This window comes from Homo sapiens, chromosome 11 (genome assembly GCF_000001405.40).
Source record: "Homo sapiens chromosome 11, GRCh38.p14 Primary Assembly".
NCBI classification, from domain to species: Eukaryota; Metazoa; Chordata; class Mammalia; order Primates; family Hominidae; genus Homo; species Homo sapiens.
The window spans coordinates 17,749,496-17,770,433 of NC_000011.10; the positions used below are offsets into that span (position 1 = coordinate 17,749,496).

General features: G+C 51.4%; 1 protein-coding gene across 4 annotated transcripts in view, besides 3 other annotated features; it reads left to right on the top strand.

Moving 5' to 3' along the window:
- Positions 1 to 20,938, top strand: part of KCNC1 (potassium voltage-gated channel subfamily C member 1) — a 48,277-nt gene that overhangs the window by 14,715 nt on the left and 12,624 nt on the right. The gene's annotated exons all lie outside the window — the stretch shown is intronic.
- Positions 11,083 to 11,584: an enhancer, noted in NCBI's record as "H3K4me1 hESC enhancer chr11:17782125-17782626 (GRCh37/hg19 assembly coordinates)". NCBI's record gives its function as "activates a minimal SCP1, AML or CMV promoter by ChIP-STARR-seq in primed H9 embryonic stem cells {active_cell/tissue: H9 hESC(primed)}" and the evidence as "EXISTENCE:reporter gene assay evidence [ECO:0000049][PMID:30033119]".
- Positions 15,987 to 16,488: an enhancer, noted in NCBI's record as "H3K4me1 hESC enhancer chr11:17787029-17787530 (GRCh37/hg19 assembly coordinates)". NCBI's record gives its function as "activates a minimal SCP1, AML or CMV promoter by ChIP-STARR-seq in primed H9 embryonic stem cells {active_cell/tissue: H9 hESC(primed)}" and the evidence as "EXISTENCE:reporter gene assay evidence [ECO:0000049][PMID:30033119]".
- Positions 16,489 to 16,988: an enhancer, noted in NCBI's record as "H3K4me1 hESC enhancer chr11:17787531-17788030 (GRCh37/hg19 assembly coordinates)". NCBI's record gives its function as "activates a minimal SCP1, AML or CMV promoter by ChIP-STARR-seq in naive H9 embryonic stem cells {active_cell/tissue: H9 hESC(naive)}" and the evidence as "EXISTENCE:reporter gene assay evidence [ECO:0000049][PMID:30033119]".

Sequence of the window (20,938 nt, forward strand, 5' to 3'; positions counted from 1 at the left end):
GACTTCCGTGGGCCTCATCACCAGAGCAGGGCAGTGAACACACCTCAGGCCACAGCCACCCACCAGGGCCAGTGTCTCGCCACTTAGAGATGAATGTTTGATGCTCAGCCTCAGGGGCTCTCTGAGCAGCAGTGAGGAACACGGCCACCTGCTGGGCCACCTGGAGTGAGCTGGAGCCCTGGGCTAAGGGGAGAGGGCTGGGCCCTGTAAACCCACGTGTGTGGCTGTCATCTGCTGAGGGTCAGTCCTATGCAGTGAGCTCCCTGCAAGCTGCCGTGGGTGCTTCTGCCCTGACCCCTGTTCAGCCCCAACACCTGGAGTATGGTCTTGCCTTTTCGGGCTCAGCTTCTTCATCTATAAAGTGTGCATAATGGCATCACCAGCTTCTCAGCGGTGTTAGGAGAATCCGTCAGACCAGAGGCAGAAAGAGCATTAGGGAGAAAACACAGTTCTGAGTGCCATGTGCAGGAAGAGGCCACCATCTCAAGTGCAAGGGGAGTGTAGGGAGGGGACAGGCTAAAGGAGGGTGCACAGGCCTTTGGGCCTGGCCAGGCCTGGGTTCTGATCCTTCCTCTGCCTCAGTGTGGACTCGGGCAGGTGGTGTCTGGCTGAGCCTCAGTTTCCTCGTGTGTAAGATTGGATGATAGTTTGTATTTCACAGGCTGTGGTGGGTCTCAGAGGGGCAAAGCCCCCAGCACCGTGGCTGGCACATGGGAGACACTCGCCAAGGGCTGGATCTGGTGACCTGGGGTGCCATTGTCAGCAGGTCCTGGGTTTGGATTTTCCTGGGTATAAGGAGGCCCTGGCTGAGCCACAGAGGCAGGGAGGGAGGCTGTAGAAGCCTCAGCCGGTTGCCCACAACCTCAGGGCCAGGAGCCACCATCACCAATGATATATTTAGAGTCACAAAGGTCAGAAATACCAGGCGCTGGCTTCCCTTCTAGGCGGCAGGAATCGTGTCTCCCGAGGCCTGGCTGTCACCAAGCAGATATTTTTTCCTGTCTGGCAGTCTGAGGATTGGAGTAAAAGCCTGGAATGTAGGAATCACAGTGGTTTGTGCTGGCTTACTGACACTTTCCATGTCCCCAGCCCTTTCCAAAGCCTGTGGTGTGATCCTTGGGAGCCCCACCTGCCCTGCTATTCCAGATCACCCTGGGCCCCAATGTGCATCATCCATTCCCAACGTGCTCCGGCTCCCTGCCCTTCTGCCTTTGCTTATTCCGTTGCCTCCACTGAGAATGCCCACTCCTCCTCCTCTGCATTTCTGAAATGGATGCTTCCTGCTAGGCCGGCTCTCATGGCTCTTCCTTTAGGGAGCCTTTCCCGACACCCTCTACCTCCTGGAAGAGCCTGCTCTGCCCTTCATGCTTCCAGAAAACCTTTCCTGTCTGACTTGAGGCCTTTGATCCACTGACTATCATTCTGTGACTCTCAGACTCAACCACAACCTCTTGGAGGACAAGGGTCAGGTTAGGCAATAGTAGTGCCTGTTACATAATAGGGAATCAATCGATCTTTGCTAAAGCTATGTGCCCCTGTGAGGTGGAAGGGTTAGGTAGTATACCCCTCTTATTGATGAGGGAAAAATGGCTCCCAGAGAGAATCATTTATTTGTCCAAGACCATCCAGAAGAGAGCAAGTGGTAGAAGGATTAGATCCCAGGTCTTCTTTTGAAAATAAATCAAGAAGGTCAGCTAGAGCCATGCCAGTGTTCCTTCTGGCTCTGGGATGCTGTGGTTCTATGGTTAAAAATGAGGTAGTGGGAGAGACCGACGAGTAATGGACGAATAGATGAAAGAATGGATAAAAAGACGGATATGTGGATGGATACAAGTGAATGGATGGAAGGAGGGACATATGGATTGAAGGAGACACAGCTGGGTGACTCAGTGGATGGGTAAACAAATGGCTGAGAAGGATGGATGGAGGACCATGGATGTGCTTCTCCTTGCGTGCCTTCAAAGCGGAAGTCCCACCTCTCACAGGATGAACACATCCTGGACGATGGGACTTGGAAGCATGGACTTCAGGGCAGTAGGCAGAGTGGAGTGGCCCAGTACATGTGTGCAGAAAGTGGGACTGCCAGATGCAGGAGGTGGGATGGTTTGTGGAGTGAGAGAGCTGGGAGCTGGGGACAGAGACTGGGCTGAGGGACTGGCCCACTCTCAAAGGTGAGAGTCCCTGATGGCAGAGAACCAGGACCAGGCTGGAAAGAAGTTCCAGGCAGAGTCATGTGGCCGGCAAGCCCTCAGGACCTGTGGTTTTCCAGACCTGCCTCTGGCCAAAGCCTGAAGGGCAGTCAGTGAGTGGGGGATTGCCCTTTGAACCCTAGGCTGTGTGAGAGAGTCTGTGGTTTCAGTCTGCTCCGGAGTAGGGAGGTCTCTCTTCCTCCTCAGGTCCCCAGCCTTGGTGAGTGAGAACCTCTGATAGCTCAGGCAGGATGTGTTCAAGGAGGCAGTGCAGCTTCACCAGCTGCAGAGAAGGTGCTGAGGAGGGGGCCCTCCTGAGGCCGCAGAAGACCCTGGCTCAGGTATACCAGGATCGACCATCTTCCCACCGCTTTTTGCTATCAACCCCCAGGTGTTAGCCATGAACTCCAAGGCTTTAGTTCTAATTGCTTGTGGACCAGTGAAGGGACCACAGGCATAGGTGGCCAATGTTGAGCTTGGTGGAGCCTGGATGCTTAGATGCTTCTGGCCTGGAGCAGATTCTTCCAGCTGGAGCTAAGTCTCTCCATTTGCACAAGGCACAGCACTGTGAGCTCCAGGCTCCCTCCAAAGCCCTGATCTAGCATTCCCCAGCACCAAGCTGCACCCCCCACACATATACACTGGCCCGGCGATCTCCCTGGGAAACCAGGTCCCGATGAGAGTGGCTGGTGTGCCGCTAACTGCTCATTACAGTCACGGCTGCAGCTAAGTATAGCTCCAGCACACACAAGACTAAGACAACAAGGGAACGTCTTCCCATAAAAAAGCTCCACATGCAAACATGCAGACATCTGCACACACAGGCTCCCCACCCTCGTGCAAACTCATGGCCTTGCACACACATGAATGCATACTTGCACCAATGCAAAGCTTTATCATTTATTTACTCAGTCATTCAATAAATGTTTGTCAGGGGGCCAGTAGAGTGGTTAAGTGCATGTGTTCTGGAGTCAGACAAAATTGGGTTTCAAATTCTACCTCCCTCACTTCCCGGTTGTATGACCATGGACAACTTAACCTCTCTGAGCCTCAGTTTCCTTCTTTATAAAATTGGGGTGGTGGCCACCTTGTGGACCAGTGGTGTAAAGGTAAATGAGATGGGGGCATGTCAGAGCGCTTAGAATAGGCCTGGCTCAGAATGTGTCAGTACGTGGTAGCTGCCTTCATCATTACTGTTGAGTACCTACTGTGTGCCCAGTTCTGCACTCTTATTTCTGGAGATGGTTGTGAAAAGTAGTGCCTGGTGCATAATAGGCATTCAGTAAATGTTTGATGATGGAATGAATGAACAAATGAATGAAAGCTGCATAGATGGGTGGCTGAAGGTCCTCAGAGCTTTCTTCTTTCAGGAGGAATTCACCCTCCGTTGACTTGCATGCAGGCTGTGTCTCCGATAAGATCTAGATGTTCTTGTGGGTAACACAGGGATTCCAGAGATAGAACAGGAACCCGAAGGTGTCTGGGCCACCCCTCATTTTGCAGATGGGGAAACGGCAGTGCAGAGAGGCAGCAAGGAGCAGGCATTGTCCCATGCCAGTCAGTAGTCAGTGGCCGGAGCCCAAGGCTGCCACCTTGAGCCATCCTAGCACAGTGGCCTAGCATAGCAGGTGGTGCCTGGTCAAGCTGCAGCCCCTGAGCCCCAGGCAGCTGGAGTCTGGAGCCTGGAGAATGCTCAGGCTACAGTCCTGGTCCCGGCTTGGACAGCCACAGGAATCATGCAGTCACACATCAGTCAGATCCCTGGCTGGGCTGTCAGTCAGGCTGGGGCCTCTGGCCGGCACTAGGCAGGGTTCCATCTGCCAGGGAAGGGACTTGGGTCTAGCCTGGGTACAAAACAATCTTCAGGATTTGAAGGTCCTGTCATCGTTCCCGACCTTTGAATAAACCAGCCGCTAAACTGCCTGGGCCATCTCCTCCCATTGCGCCTCTTCAAAAAGAAATTGACATTTCCTGGTGCTTTTTTAAGCCCAGGCTGGCTGGGCCAGGCCCCGGCGTGGGGGGTGGGGAGGGGGCGGGTGGCAATGGGAGTCACACAGCCTGAGTCTCTCCTCACCTTGAGTGATCTCAAGACGCTGGGAATAGACATGGTCTCATCTCCTCACCATGTGTCCCAGATTCCAATTCCGATGCCCAGATTCCAGATTCGCCACTCCAGTGCCCGCATCCAGGTTTTGAATTCCACAATCCAGTGCCAGTTCTGCCCCGTAGACAGGACTCAGGCTGTTGGACTACATCATGAGCGCCTTCAGCTGGCCTGTCTGCTGGGAGGGAAGGATGTATCTGCCCTCTCTCTGGAAAGGAACTCTGTGACCTTGTGCGCACTCTCCATGAATGACATGCATCACTCATGTTCATGGCTGGTGGGGATTCAGGCCTTTGTTCACTGATTGTGCCCATTGTCAAGGAGATGAAAGTGATTGTGCCTGCTGCCAGTGTAGACATGAGTCTGCTTTCAATGAATGCACTCATTGCCAGTGTAGATACGGCTCTGCTCTCAATCACTGTGCCCACTGCCAGTGTAATAAACACTCTGTGCAAAGATCAAGGATGCCCATTGCCAATGAGAGCATAGCTGAAAGATCAGTGATCATGTCTATGGCTGGTTGAGTCACAGATTGGTGTATGGAGATTATCTTTTTACCAGTGTAGCGCTTCCGTTACTGTGGTCAGTGCCCATGTAAATGCAACTCTGAAATCAACGATTGTGTACATTGCCAGGGTAGACGCAGATGTGGTATCATTGAATCAGTGACTGCCCATATTGACAAGGGGCAGCAAGCACCAGCCGCCGGGGGCTCACTTCTGAAGGAGGCTGCAGGGAGTAAACCATTGTGCCCATTATGCAACTAGAGGGAGTGAGGCAAGTGGACATAGGACCCATGTCCACGACCTTCTTTCCACAGAGGAAACCTATGCTTGTGCTCCCCATTTCCTGGAGGAAGGAGCCTCCTTTCCCCTACTAGTTGGAGTGTTTGGCTGGGTCTTTGAGGCAGGGCCACCCTGACCCTCAGATTCAGCCACCTCATGGACCTTACATTCTAGAGGGGGAAGAGAGTCAAACAACAAACATGAACACTAAGTAAATTAGACAGTGTCAATGCCAACACGCAGCCAACTGGATACTTACAACAGAGACCTGATTTCAAATCCTGCTGCCACTTCTGAGTTACGTGGGATTTTCTCGCACATCTTAACCACTCTAAACCTCAATTTTCTTATTTTCTTATAGGTAAATTATACCTTGATAAAGCTGAGGAAAGTTGGCATCTTAGATGATCTGTGCTGGGGGGAACAGCAGAGTAAGGAAAACCAGATTTTCCTTACTGGAGGTGTTGGTTGAGACTTGAAATAGGGTGGTCAGAAGCACCCTCTTGGGGTGCCATGAGGCAGTGAAGGGGTAAGCCATAGGCGTACCTGGGGAAAGGCGTTCTAGGCAGAAGGAACAGCCAGTGCAAGAGCATGGAGGCAGGCGTGTGTCTGGCATATTTGAGGAACATGTTTGAGGAGGCAGATGTGAAGATGATGGTAGCAGGGAGGAGTTTGGGGAGATAATGGATGACCAGATCAAGTCGGATCTGCAAGCCATTGAGAAGACCTTTGCTCCTCCTCTGAGAGAAATAGGGCGCCAGTGCAGGATTCTGAGCAGAGAAATGACACAGTTCGATTCATGTTTTAAAAGCTGTGTTGAAAACAGTCCTAGCGCACCAGGAATGTTGGAACCTGGGAGACCAGTTAAGAGACTGGTCTATTACCATGACCCGGGGGGAAAGGATGATGGCTGGGACATGGGTGGTCACAGCAGTGATGGGAAGGGCTCAGATGCTGGGTCTATTTTTCAAGCAGAGCCACGAGGATTTCCTTACAGATTAAATGTGAGATGTGACAGAAAGAGATGTGTCAAGGATGACTCCAAGGTTTTTGGCAAGAATGTCCTGGAAGGATGGAGACACTCTCTCATGAGATGGAGAGGCTGCAGGGGGTGGGGGTGGCACAGGAGTTCAGTTGACGTGTTGAGTTTGAAAGAGCTGGTAGAATTCCATCTGGAGATGCCAGGGAGTTGGATGCTGGAGTCCTGAGTTCAGGGGAAGGGCTGGGCTGGAGATAAGCCTTTGAGAGTGTGCTGTTTATGGGTATTTGAATGATGGTGGCCTTTAAGTCATAAAACTGGGTTAACCACTAAGGATGTGAGTGTAGATGAAGAAGAGGAGCAAGGACTGAGCTCCAGGGTGCCCCGATAGAGACTGGGGAGAAGAGTTGGCAAAGGACTCCAAGAAGGAGCAGCCAGAGAGGTAGGAAGAAAATCCAGAGGCTATGCGGTCCCAGGAAGTGCAAGAAGAAGGAGGGAGGGATCAGTGGCATCAGATGCTGCTGGTGAGTCAGGAACATGAGGCCTGAGCAGCGCTCCCCTTCTCTCTGCCTAGAATGTGCTTCCTTGCACCTTGCATTTCCCTAGTTGATTCTTATCCATCCTTCCAACCTCTGCACAGTTGTCACTTTCTCCTGGAAGCCACTCTAACCTCAAGACTTGTTGTTAAAGGCTTACCAAATGCCTGTGCATTCCCCTTGATGCCCCTGTCAGCTCACATAGGTACATATTTGCTTGTATGGTTAATTGATAAATGTCAATGTCCCCCTCTCCTACTCCTCCCCCAAGAAGCTGTGGCTGTTTTTGCTCACCCTATACCCAGTACCCTGTATAGGCCTGGAATAAGATGTAAATATTTGTTAGAGGGACACAGGTGGGCAGTCAACTGTGGTCCCACCTGGGTTTTGTCCATTACCCTCCCTGAGCCATTTTTATTCCCTTCCCTCCAAACACACACACACACACACACACACACACACACACACACGCATGTACATTGGGAGTCAGGACCCCTGACTCGATACAAACACACAAGTGGGCACAGGAGGGAAATTTCCTAGTGAATTCCAAGTGGACTCCATTCCTAGCTCCTCCATGGAGGTTGGAGCCTCAGTTTTCTCATCTACCAAATGGAAGCCATCAAGACTGTCCTGCTGATGGCCCAGTTGGGGGGCGGGGGTGTGTGTGTTGTACATATAAGATCCAAAACATGAAGATGTGCTATATACTGAAGAAGGCTGTGCCTATTGTCATCATAATGGGAAGATAAACAGCTTTCTCCCAGGACTACCTGGGGGTGATGTGAGAAAGATTTATAAGTGGAAGTAATAGAGCATAGTGGTTTTGGAGTCAGAGAGACCTGGTTTCAAAGCCCACCTAACACTTTCCAGCTATGTGGGGGATTTTTGCACGTCTTAACCACTCTGAACCTCAGTTTTTTAATCTGCAAAATGGAGGTAATGATGCCTCCTTCGGAGAGGCTTTTAAAGATAAATGAGATAATGTTTGTAAAGTGCTTGACCTCTGGTGAGCATGCTATTATTACTGTATAGCAGAGGACAGAGAAGCTCAACAAAGGTAAATATTCCTATGGCCAAGGTGGTTATGAGGATTAAAAAGGGTAAAATGTGCCATCCATTTAGCCACACACAGTGAGTGATGAACAAAAGCAGACTCTGAAGCAGGTCAGGGGAGATGGTGCAAGGAAGAGAGCATGAAGGAAGCCCGAGGAAGCCTGGCCTGCAGGAGGGATGTCTCAGGGGCATGTCCTGAGTCTTATCTGCAGGTATAGGCAGGACCATCACAGGGAGGAAGAGGAGCAGGTGTCTTCTGATGACCCCAGAGGGCAGACCTGTGATTGCTGGGAAAATGAGACAGGAGGTTGACTTACATGAGAAATAAATGCATGTCTCTTAGACTGGTTCAAAGACGGAATGAATGGCCTCGTGAACTTCCCATCACTGGTGGTGACCAACACAGACATCTGTCTCAGGGTCACTGCAGATGAGATCATTGAACTGCCCCCTTGAGAGGCCTATACAGGCATACCTCGGTGATATTGTGGGCTTGGTTCCAGACCACAGCAATAAAGTGAATATCACAATAAAGCAAGTCACATATTTTTTGGTTTCTCAGAGCATATAAAAGTTATATTTATACTATACTGTACATTATTAATTGTGCAATAGCATTATGTCTAAAAATGTACATATCTTAATTTTTAAATACGTTATTGCTTCAAAATGCTAACAATCATATGAGCCTTCAGTGAGTCATAATCTTTTTGCTGATAGAGGGTCTTGCCTCAGTGTTGATGGCTGCCGATTGATCAGCGTGGTGATTGCTGAAGGTTGGGGTGGACATAGCAATTTTGTAAAGTAAGACAACAAAGAAGTTTGCTGCATCAATTGACTCTCCCTTTCACAAAAGATTTCTCTGTAGCATGTGATGCTGTTTGACAGCATTCCATCCACAGTAGAACTTCTTTCAAAACTGAAGTCAATCCTCTCAAACCCTGCTGCTGCTTTATCAGCTGAGTTTATGGAATATTCTAAATCCTTTGTTGTCATTTCAACAATGTTTATAGCATCTTCACCAGGAATAGATTCCATCTCAAGAAACCACTTTCTTTGCTTATCCATAAGAAGCAACTCCTCATCTGTTCAAGTTTGATCATGAGATTGCAGCAATTCAGTCACATCTTCAGGCTCTACTTCTAATTCTAGCTCTCTTGCTATTTTCATCACATCTGCAGTGACTTCCTCCACTGGAGTCTTGAACCCATTAAAGTCATTCACGAGAATTGGAATCAACTCCTTTTGAACTCCTGTTAATGTTGCTGTTTTGACCTCCTCCGATGAATCACAAGTGTTCTTAGTGACATCTAGAATGGTAAATTCTTTCCAGAAGGTTTCAATTGACTTTGCACAGATTGATCAGAGGAATCAGTATCTATGGAAGCTACAGCCTTATGAAATGTATTTCTTAAAGAATATGACTTGAAAGTAAAAATGACTCCTTGGTCCATGGGCTTCAGAATGGGTGCTGAGTTAGCTGGCAGGAGAACAACATTCATCTCCTTGTACATCTCTATCAGAGCTCTTGGGTGACCAGGTGCATTGTCAATGAGCAATAATATTTTGAAAGGAATCATTTTTTCTGAGCAGTAGGTCTCAACAGTGGGTTTAAAATATTCAGTAAACCATGCTATAAATAGATGTGCTATCATCCAGGCTTTGTTGTTCCATTTCTAGAGCACAGGCAGAGTAGATTTAGTCTGATTCTTAAGGGCACTGGGACTCACAGAGTGGTAAGTGAGTATTGGCTTCAACTTAAAGTCACCAGCTGCATTAGCCCTTAACCAGAGAGTCAGCCTGTCCTTTGAAGCTTTGAAGCCAGGCATTGACTTCTTCTCTCTAGCTATGAAAACCCTCAATGGCATCTTATTCCAATAGAAGGCCGTTTAATCTGCATTGAAAAATCTTTTGTTTGGTGTAGCCACTTTCATCAGTGATCTTAGCTAGATCTTCTGGATAACTTGCTACAGCTTTTCCTTCTCTATCAGCATTTGCTGCTTCTCCTTGCACTTTTATGTTATGGAGAGAGCTACTTTCCTTAAACCTGATGAACCAACTTCTGCTAGCTTTAAACTTTTCTTCTGCAGCTTTCTCACCTTTCTTAGCCTTCCTAGAATTCAAGAGAGTTAGAGCCTTGCTCTAGATTAGGCTTTGGCTTAAGGGAATGTTGTGGCTGTGTTTCATCTTCTATCCAGAACACTCAAACTTTCTATCAGTAGTAAGGCTGTTTTGCTTTCTTATCACTCATGTGTCTACTGGAGTAGCACTTTCAATTTCCTTTTAGAACTTTTCCTTTGCATTATTCAGACTTGGCTGACTGTTTGGTGCAAGAGGCCTAGCTTTTGGCCTATCTCAGCTTTCGACATGCCTTCCTCACTAAGCGTAATCATTTCTAGCTTTTGATTTAAAGTGAGAGGCATGAAACTCTTCCTTTCACTAGACCACCTAGAGACCATTGTAGGGTTATTAATTTGCCTAATTTCAATATTGTTGTGTCTCAGGGAATAGAGATGCCTGAGGAGAGAGAGAGATGGGAGAACAGCCAGTCAGAACTCAGATAACATTTATCAATTAAGTTTGCCATCTTATACGGGTGTGATTTGTGGTTCCCCAAAACAATTACAATAGTAGCATCAGAGATCAATGATCACAGGTCACCATAACAGATATAATAATAATGACAATTTGAAATATTGCTAGAATAACCAAAATATGACACAGAGACAAAAAGTGAGCATATGCTGTTGGAAAAATAGCACGGGTTGCCACAAACTTGAATTGGAAAAAAAATTGCAATATCTGTGAAATGCAATAAAGCAAAACGCAGTCGAACGAGGCATGTCTGCATATCCTATATGGAGCGCCTTCCTACTCACTGCCTAATCTGGGAATCTTATTCACGTATTTCTTATTCCAATCTGTGGCTTTCCCAAAAAAATGTTTGAGGCACCTAAGACACACCTACCACAGAACCCTTAAAAATAAAGAAGAAAAAATACATGTAGTATAATGAAGAAAAGAAATAGCTATACCCCAAACCCAGGTAAAGGATTCGCCTAGAATTGAGCACTAAATTTAGCCGAGCTCCCTGGCAGTCAGAGCAAAAGAGAAAATGTGAAGGGTTTTATGACTCATCATTTACTAACAGAAATGTAGACAGGCGTACTAGGAGACACCTGCTTGTTCTAAGCCCTGAAACACAAGAGGAATTTCCCACGTGGGATCCTGGTATTGCTCCAAGTCTAAGATGCTAATGGGAGAGGGTGAGAGGAGACCCCCGTTAGCCTCCGTATTTATTTACCATCTGCTCTCCAGGAGGAAGGCTCAGTCCACAGGAGCAGGTGCGATATGGGCTCCTGATTGGTCCTTCTGGGGACTAACATTCAGGTTTCCTGGCCTGTGGGACTGCAGGGGGCACTGTGGGACAGCACACCACACTCCCTAAGGCCTCCCCTAGGGCCCTCTGTACCTGCTGGTGGCCAAGAAAGGTCAGAGTCGCCAGATCCGGCTACAAGGGCACCTCCATGCCACCTCGCATGGTGGGACCTCTGCACGCGCTGCCTGCTGCTTAGGGGGCTTATGGAAGGCAATGAAGTCCGTTGTTCCCGAGGACAGTGAGACTGATCCAGTGCTGAGACCTCAGGCAAGATTCTTTCCCTCTGAATGGCAGCTCCTCATCTAGAGAGTGACATGATAACACCGCACTGGGCTGGCACGAGGTTTAAACGGGACAGTGCATGGGAAGCCCCGGAAGCAGGGCCTGCCCAAGACTCAGGAAGCTGTTGTCATCTCTTTTCTTGTTACCAGAGTTAGGCGGGAAAGTCGGCAGCTCTGGCTTGAGCCCCACTCATCGTGCGACCTTGGGTGTCCTTTCCCTCCCGACACCCAAGACAGGCAGGGGTCCACGTGGAAAACCCTGCAAGCATGGGGACAGGAAGTCCCCCTCACCTCGAGGACCATGTCTCTCACTGACTGGAGGCCACAGGGCTGGATCTTGGACACACCTGGACTCGTCCACAGGAAGCTGGCTGTGTGCTGCACTGGCGGTTCCCACCAGGCTGTCCTTGGCTCCTGGTCCCTTAACAGGCAAGTGGTAGCAGAAGCAGAAAGAATTAGAGAGAAAGGCCTAAAACTTAACACATTTCTCCCTTTAACTATTGCTCTGCTCACCTTCCCACCTCCCTCACCTCTTGGTAATTTGTGAAAAACAAAATTCTGTGTTTGGATGTTTGTTGTTTGTGCAGGGCCGCCTCGGCCAGCTCCCGGAATGCCAGTGTGCAAGGGAGCCAGCAGTCTTGGGGTTTTGCCCTGGATCTGGGGAAGTCCTAGGCACCTGGCCTTTTCTTCCACACCCCTCAATGTTGTCTTACTTCCTGGAGTGTGTTATTTTAAGAATGATGGAACTGCATCTCCAAGAGGTTACTAGGCCATAGGCATATGGTTCGTGGCCGAGCTGGGATTCAAACTCAGGTCTCTGGAGCCAAGTCCAGGCCTCCTTTCCTTCCACCATGTGGCCTACTTGCCAGCACCTACCGTGGTCCGTTAAGCATCAGACCTGCCTAGCATGTGGGTCTTATCTGGCCCCATGGATCCCAAATGCCAGGATTGGCTGGTGGCATCAGAGCCTCCTGGGGCACAAATTAAAGGTGAATTTCTGTTCCCACCCGTAACTACTAAGCCAGAGTCTCTGGGCTCTGCGCTTGGATCTCCCTTCAGTCACTCTCCCCAGCACTCTCCCTCCCCTGCCATCCTGCCCATCACACCAGCATCTGCCCACTCCTGCCTCCTTCGTTCCCCACCAACCACCTCCAGGGAAAGGTTCTTACTCCCAGCTCTCCTTTCTACCCTTCCAGGGGCATGGGTTTAGCCCCCACCAGGGCCTCCTTGTTGCTAAATCCAGAGACAGCTCCTCCGGCCCCATCCCACGGGATCCCTCTGAGGCCGTCTCCTCAGGGACACCCTCTCCCCTTTTACTGCAGGACAAGGGCTGGCCATCACTGGATATTGGTCACCTGCTGCTGGGCCAGGCTCAGCCTCACTCACACTGCATGGGCTGAGTGTGGGAAGAGACGGGTCTCTGAAGGACAATGGTGGTGTTTTGTGCCTCAAACTCCCAGGCACCTCCCAGCTCAGCAGTTCCCGTTCCATGACTAGAAGATTCTAGGCTTTTCTACATGATCCTAAACCTTTGGAGAGGACCAGGGCGGGAGGGTCCACCGGAGCTTCAAGGTGAGAGGCTCTGTGTGGAGGCTCAGCGGTGTGTCTGAACACTTCCTTCTTGCTCTCTGTGTATTATTTCAACTCACTGTTACAACCACTGGGAGGCAGACAATGAAGGCTCAGAAAGGGACAGTGACTTGACCACAGTCACCTGGTTGAGTCAGGCCTGAAAAGCAGGCGGGTGTGACGTCACGGTCCTGCCGTTTCTGCTCCAGCCACTACCTCCTCTGATGAGACTCCAGCTGCTTTGACTGGATCTTGAAGGCAGGTGGGCCTGAGGGATGAGAGGGGCCTGGAGGGCTGGAGGGATACTGCCTGAGCCAAGACTTGATAAGAAAATCGCCACACTGGAGCCCAGTGCTGATGCTCCTGGAGAACGTGGTTCCCCTCTCTGGTCCTGCTGAGTGCTCTGCACCCCTGGGCCACTCCCTCACCGTGCTGCGCCTTCGTCTCTCCATTCCCACCCGCCAGGCAGCTTTTGCAACCTCCCCCGAGGACCTCCTCCATCAGTGCTCTGGTCTTCTAATGACCAGGTTTCCACAAGCCCAAGGTGCCACCGATGTAAGACATGTGCGGATCCAGGAAGAAATACCATTCCGGGATGTGTGCATTTTATATGTTTCAACTTCCAAAAAAAAGATACGCATCTTGGGATGAAAGTACCATAGGAACCCCTGCCACCTCGGGATGGGCCAGCCCAGCTGTTGTGGGGGCTCTTTCTGGATATGACCCAGGTGTAGGGTCCAGAGAATGAATTCAGTGAGGTGAGCCGTTGTCTCTTTGGACGTCTGCGCCGGGACGCTGCCTTTTCTGGCTCTGGCTCTCCCCCTTCTCAGATTGAATCCTGGGATGGAAAGTGTCACTGTGGAGATGCAGGGGGCTCCTGAGCTGGGCCGGCTCAGCCCCCCACCCTGCCTATCACCTTCCTCCAAGTCCAGGACAGTCCCAGGGAAAGGGGCACACCCCTGGGCTAATGAAGGAGTGACCATCTCTGGCATAGAAAATGGTCAGGGCCCTGGGTTGAGTCTCGGCTCAGAGAACACGTGCCCAGAGTGCCCAGCCAGACCCTGGTTCCCTGGGAGATGGCCCGGACACGCACATGCACACTCACACCCATGCACTGCCCCCCACACACACTCCCCACGCACGCAATGCACACACCCACACCCACACACAGACCCCCACACCACCCCACACATGCAATACACACACACACACACAGACCCCCACACACCACCCCACATGCACATATACACACCCACACACACACACCCCCACACCACACCACACGCAATAACACACAGACCCCCACACATGCACAAATACACACCCTCACCCACACACACCCCCACACACCTCCCCACACATGTTCATATACACACCCACACCCACACACAAACCCCCACACCACCCCACACACACAATACACACACACACAGACCCCCACACACCACCTCACACATGCTTATATACACATCCACCTCCACACACACCCCACCACACATGCACATGTACACACCCACACCCACACACAAACCCCACACACCACACATGCACATATACACGCCCACACACACACACACCCACACACAGCAGCCCACACATGCACATATACACACCCACACACAGACCCCCACACAGCACCCCACACGTGCACATATACACGCCCACACACACACATACCCCCACACATCACCCCACACATGCACACACCTACACTTGCATAGCCCCCCACACACCACCACACGTCTCCATAGACACACACACACCCCCCCACAAACCACATATAGCCCTATATACACACACACAACACAAACCACACATAGCCCCATAGACACACACATACACACCACACATCACACACCACACATAGTCCCATACACACACACACACCACCGCACACAAAGTTCCATACACACACTCACACACACCACTTCATACCTGTCTCCATACACACATGCAAACACTCCATATGTGTTCCCCACACACCCCATACATGTCCACACACACACAAACACATCCCATATCTGTCCATGCACACACATGAATCACATACAGCACACGTAGCGACCATTTACACAAAACTTGTGCACAGGCCTAGAGTCAGGTTATGTAGACATGACACACCTACCCCACACTGACACTACCTACCCCGCTAACACTCCCCCCAGTGCAGACTTCCCCAAGCAGGCTGCCACACAGCCGTGTTCCTGGAACATGCTCACACACACTCTGCTCACACCCTCCACGGAGCACCTTGGGGAGCTCCTCCCGCCCACTGCCCCTTGCGCCGGTGCAGCATCTGGCACCCAGACGCTGCGCTCGGGGGCCAGGCCTCCTTTGCCTGATGGTGCAGGCATTTATTGACAGAACAAAAAAGGGACTGGACCCCTAACCATCCCATTTCCTCCCTGCCCTCCCTCCCATCCCCCAGCCGGCCCAGCACACTGTGAGCATTCCCGGCCCGCGGAAGTCCAGATGAGGCTAATTCAGTTTCTAAACCCAACTCAACTGACAATTTATTTAGGACAATTGGCCATCCCGCCTGCTCTGCATCACTGACTCCGCATGGATTAACTCAAAGGCTGCACACCCCCGCTGGGCAGATTTAATTAGGCGGAAAAACTGACCTGAAGCCTCTGGGGGCCTGGGGCCTGGATGTCAGCCAGGGCTCCCCTGATTAGCTATCACATGCCCCCACTGCCCGCAGCCCTGCCCTGCCTCAGAATCCTCAGAAAGGACCAATCCAACCCTCACTGCACCCAGGATGAAACTGAGGCCCAGAGAGGGGAAGCAACTCGCCAAGGTCACACAGCAAGTGAGCAGCCACACTGGAATGTTGGTCCCTGCACCACGTTACAGTCATCGCCTTGTTCCTGAAACGCCAGACTGCATGAACACAGCTCCCCAAGGCGAACCCCCGAACAGCTCCGATCCGAAAGGCAAGCACAATTTTCTAAAGATGACTGTGGCATAAATAATTCATAAATGAAAGTCATAGCACATATTGGTCATTTTAATAGATAGTAAATTGCCTTTCTGATTTGTGGTTTCAGGGGTGGGGTTATGGTAAAAATAACTTGGTGATTTATAAAACATTTTCTTAAGTCAACAGATCGTTAGTAGGTTTGTCTGACTTTACAGCCAACAGCTTCACCACCCTGGTTACCATAGAAATGGGATGCCTTGCTCTGTTGCCATGGCGACCACTTTCTAGAACACAATTGGTGGGTCTCTCACGGTTTGTGATTTGGTTTGGGGGGAGAAAAAGGCCAGAAACTACCAGTTTGGGTTTATGCCGCATTGTCAGACGATCTCGCCTGTGTTGTCTCGAAATTCTACAGGGTGGCAACTGCCATGGCCAGCCTGGGTGACAGTTGCCTGAGGGCTGCCCAGCAGAGCTCCCTTTGTGCCCCCTGTCAGGCCGGCAGCCCAGGAGGGACTGGCCTCCCAGCAGGCCTGGATCCTGGGTGTGGTGGGACTCAGCTGCTGCAGGCATGGCGTGTAGAAGGGAGATAAAGTCTGACAGGTCACACAAAATCAGGAAGCCCATGGGTGATGGGCACAGCCTAGGGTCGGGTAATCCGGGAGATGGCAGCCTGAGCAGAGAGGGCGGAGGAGGCAGAGGCAAGGTGGGCTGGAGCTGCCTGTCCTGCAGGAGGGGGACAGACACTGAGTCAGTTACACCTGGGGTCGGGAGAGAGAAGTCTGCAGGGAGCTGCCGGGGCACAGCCAGGGCCTCCATGTGCTCACAGTGCGTATGCTGTGCTGTTACCTCTGCTGCATTATCTGTGTGTGCCGAGTGTGTATGCACGAGTGGTGCGTGTGTGCGCCTTGCAGTGCAGCACCCAAGTGTTTCTGGTGGTGTGTGGCGATGTGTCTCCGCATGTGCTCCATGGGCTCCTGTGTTTACTGTGTGGTGGGGACACTGTTGTAGTTTGTGTGCCATGTGCACAGTGTCTGTGCTTAGGTAATGGATGAGACATGTGCTCTGCGTCACTGTGTGTGTTTGTGGTCTGTGGGTGACTCTTCCATGTCTCTAGGTGGCTTGGATTGGGAAGCAGATCACTCATGTGGGAAGCAGTCCCCTAATCTTGCCTGTGACCCTACAGCCCCGGGGATGACAGCCCAGGGTTGTCACATAGGCTTTTCTGAGGCTTACCAGGCAGAGGGTCCCTCTGCTGTTGACATTATACCTTGCTAGACAGGGGCAGTGTCCCCACCCATGGGGCTGCTCTTATTCCAGTTGCTAGCAGATTCTGGGCAATGAGGCCTAAGAAGCATTCAGATGTGGCTGGCTCCAGCATTTGGATCCAGGTAGCCTTGCTCTATCACTGGGGATAGGCACAACCTGCTCTTACGGATTCTGAGCTGTGCCTGTTAGGCTCCTAGACAGAGCCATTTAGACACAATCAGGGGGCGCTCTGCAGTGGGTGGGGCTGGGTTTTTAACTCCAGGAGCTTTGGCGACTCTGGAGGCAAGAGCTTAGGTTCTAGAGCTCAATACACTTGGGAGGCCGAGTCTGGCAGATCACCTGAGGTCAGGAGTTCAAGACCAGCCTGACCAACATGGCGAAACCCCATCTCTACTAAAAAATACCAAAAAAAAAAAAAAAAATTAGCCGGGCGTGGTGGTGGCACCTGTAGTCCCAGCTACTCAGGAGGCTGAGGCAGAGAATCGCTTGAACCCAGGAGGCGGAGGTTGCAGTGAGCTGAGATTGCGCCATTGCACTCCAGCCTGAGCAACAGAACGAGACTCTGTCTTAAAAAAAAAAAAAAATTAGCCGGCTGTGGTGGTGCACACTTATAATCCCAGCTACTTGGGAGGCTGAGGTGGGAACCCGGGAGGCGGAGGTTGCAGTGAGCCAAGATCACGCCACTGCACTGCAGCCTGTGTGACAGAGCAAGACTCCGTCTCAAAAAAAAAAAAAAAAGAAAAGAAAAGAAAAGAAAAGAAAGAAAAACACTTGGATCCAAGTCTCAGCCTCATCACGAGCTTTAAAACCTTGGCTTAGTCCCCGAACCTTTCTGTACCTGCATTTCCTCCTTGAAGCAATGGGGATATGGCCCCGTCTCACCAAGCTGGTGTGAGGACTGAAGGCACATAGTAGGTCCTCAAGTTTTGGGAGCTCTTTCCTTTCTCCAGCCAGCCCTGGAGAATGGACACAAGGGACCTGGGGCTTCGTTGCTCTTGCTCCGGCTGTGCCTGTGGCTGACCTCCCACTGGTCTAGACTTAGGAGGACACTGGGATCTGAGCAGGCTGAGGCATCTTCCTCCACAGCACTCTAAGCGTCCCTTGGGATTTGATGTTGCTGGGGCTCTGCCTGTAACAGAGGAAGATCAGGCCTCACAGTAGCAGAGGACAGGAAGGCAGGCGCCCAGGGAGCCTGAGCAGTGTGAGAGGCCTGGCCTCCACCTCTCCTGACTCTCCCTGGGGAAGGTGTCTTTGCACCTGGACCTGGCTTCTGCTGCCTGCTCCCCATCCTCCACTCCTTGGGCACTGGGGCCCAGAGAGGAAAGAATCTAGACAGGCAGTCCATTGGTCCCTGAGAAACAAAGACTTTTTACCATAATCTTATAAGGCCTGAGTTTTCCAATCAGGATCTGAACTGAGAGGAGCACTTGAGATGAGAGCTCTGAGGGCTGTGGGGTTGCCTGGGAGTTACCAGGCTCCTGGGACATCAGTGCCCTGTCTGGGCTGTTCCTGTGAGCCTCCCCATGCACTAAAGAGCTGGAGTCGGAGATGGGCTTGCTGCCTCCCTGGGGTGCATTTAGAGACTCCTGGGGAACTCCCTTCAGTTGCTGTCTCCTGTGGGCCAGGGCTGTGAAGGGGAACCTCACCTCAGGGGACGGGTCACTTAGTAGGGCCCTGAAGGATGAATGGGATTTTTCCAGACAGAGACTGGCAGGAGCACTCTCCAGCAGAAGGAATAGCAGGTACAAAACCACGGAGGTGGGGAGACACTCTGTGGTCAGAAATGGCAGAGAGCTGCACATGGCAAGAATGTTGGGTGCATGCAGGGAGAGGACCCTGGGAAATCAAATGAGGCCAGGACGTGGAGAGCCTCGTGTGCCAGGCTGGGGAATTTGGACTTTCTCTGTGGGCTGCATGGGCAGAGCTGGGATTCCAGTTGAAAGCACCCTCTGGTAGCCAAGACTGAAGTCTAAACCTGCTTTGATGGCAGTGACCCTGCCCGGAGAGAGTCCCATATGAACAGGGAGTACAGTGGAGAATGGATGTTGGTGGGGGGGGGGGCGGTTTGGGAATGGGATGTCCTGGCTGATGGGGCAGTGAGGAGGGGAGGTGCCTCCAGCCTTCAGCCAGGATTGAGAGCCAAGTGTGCAGTGGGCCCTGCCTCTTGGCACCGTTCGGTCATCCACAGTGTGCTTGTTCCTCTCGTCCCATACAAAGGCCAGGGCAGGGGGTGCAGCTGGGGGGCCTGCCCTGCCCTTAGGGAGTCTCTGGGCTGTGAACGCCAAGCTCCAGAATGCGGCCTTCTAGGGGGGATCTGAAGCCAGATACCCAGCAGACCAGGATGTGTGTTTTAGCTCCAAGAGCCTTGGCAACTCTGGTGATGGAGAGAGCTCTGGAGCTCATTAAACTTGCAGCCAGCATGGCAGCCTCTTCCCGTTGCTTCTACATTGTTTTCCTGGTCTACCTCTGTTGTGCTCCAGGTCTGGTCTTTCTGGATCTGGGAGCCATGGCTTTGAGCCTCTACCCTGCCTCTCTCAAGTGCGCCCACATTACTCTGACCTTTTTCCAGCCTCTTCTAGTTCATAGGGCTGAGGGTTCAGCTTTTCAGTCCACTGCATTGTACTTGTCTCTGAATGTATCCTTCACCTGAGCTAGGCAGGGAGCTCCCTGAGGCTGGAATGAGGCCTTATTCAACTCTGTGCCAGGCAGAACTTGGTGCCTTGTGAGGAATGGATGGATGGGTGCATGGGTGGTTGGAAGGGAGGGATGGAGGGAGGGACACAGGAAAGAGGGAGGGAGATAAAGAAAAAAGGAGGGAAGGGAAGATGAATGGATGTATGGATGGAAAGAAGGAAGGGAGGGAGAGAGAAAAGAAGGGAGGGAGGATGAGTGGATGGATGGGTGTATGAATGAATTAAAAAGGATGAATGGATGGCAGGGAAGGAGAAAGGAAAGGAGGAAGGGAGGATGATGTGCTGGTGAAAGAAAGGAGGGATAGGCCAGGTGGGGTGGCTTTCGCCTGTAATCCCAGCACTTTGGGAGGTCAAGGCAGGAGGCTTACCTGAGGCCAGGAGTTCAAAACCAGCCTGGACAACATAGAGAGACCCCATCTCTGCAAAATAAAAATAAATAAATAAATTAATTAATTAATAAAAATTTAAAAACAGGAAGGAGGGACAGATGGATGGAAGGAAGGAAGGCTGCATATGGACCACACTTGATAGTGGCTCAGGAGACAGTTTTCTGAAAATCGCACAATGCTCTGGAACCAACAGGACTAGTAGTGTCCCGTTGGCATAGCTTAGGCAGATCTCTTCCCGTTTCTGGGCCTCAGCTCCCCGTTCGTAGCATGTGGTGTCTCAGAACAGATCATATCTACAGGCTACTCTCACTCTGTCATTCTGAGATGCCAACTTTGTCACTTCCCTTTGCTCCCAGCTTCCCTCAACACAGAATGTGGTTTGGAAGGTCCACATAATTCTTGGTTCCCAGATCCCTGCCAGGTTGAGTGTCAGGCCCTGTGACCATGGTTAATCCAAACAAGACTGTTCTGGGACTTCCAGGGCACCCCCTGGGTGGGGGAGGGGCATCACTGCAAACAAGGCGGCCTCTAGGGGCAGCATGGCTGCCTCCTGCTGTTGACACAGGGCGCGACCTTGGCCCTCCTCCAAATGATCTATGAGGGCAGGTCAGAGAACAAAGGTGTCACGCCTTGCAGACTGTAGCCCGGAGCTGCCTTGTGGAGAAGGCACTGCTTTGGCCATGGCTAGGCAGGGAGAAGGGGGACCCAAAAGGGTGGGGTGCAGTGAGGACATGCAGGCGGGAGTGACTATCTGGGCCCCTGAGAGAGGGCTGACTGGCAGGGGCCCAT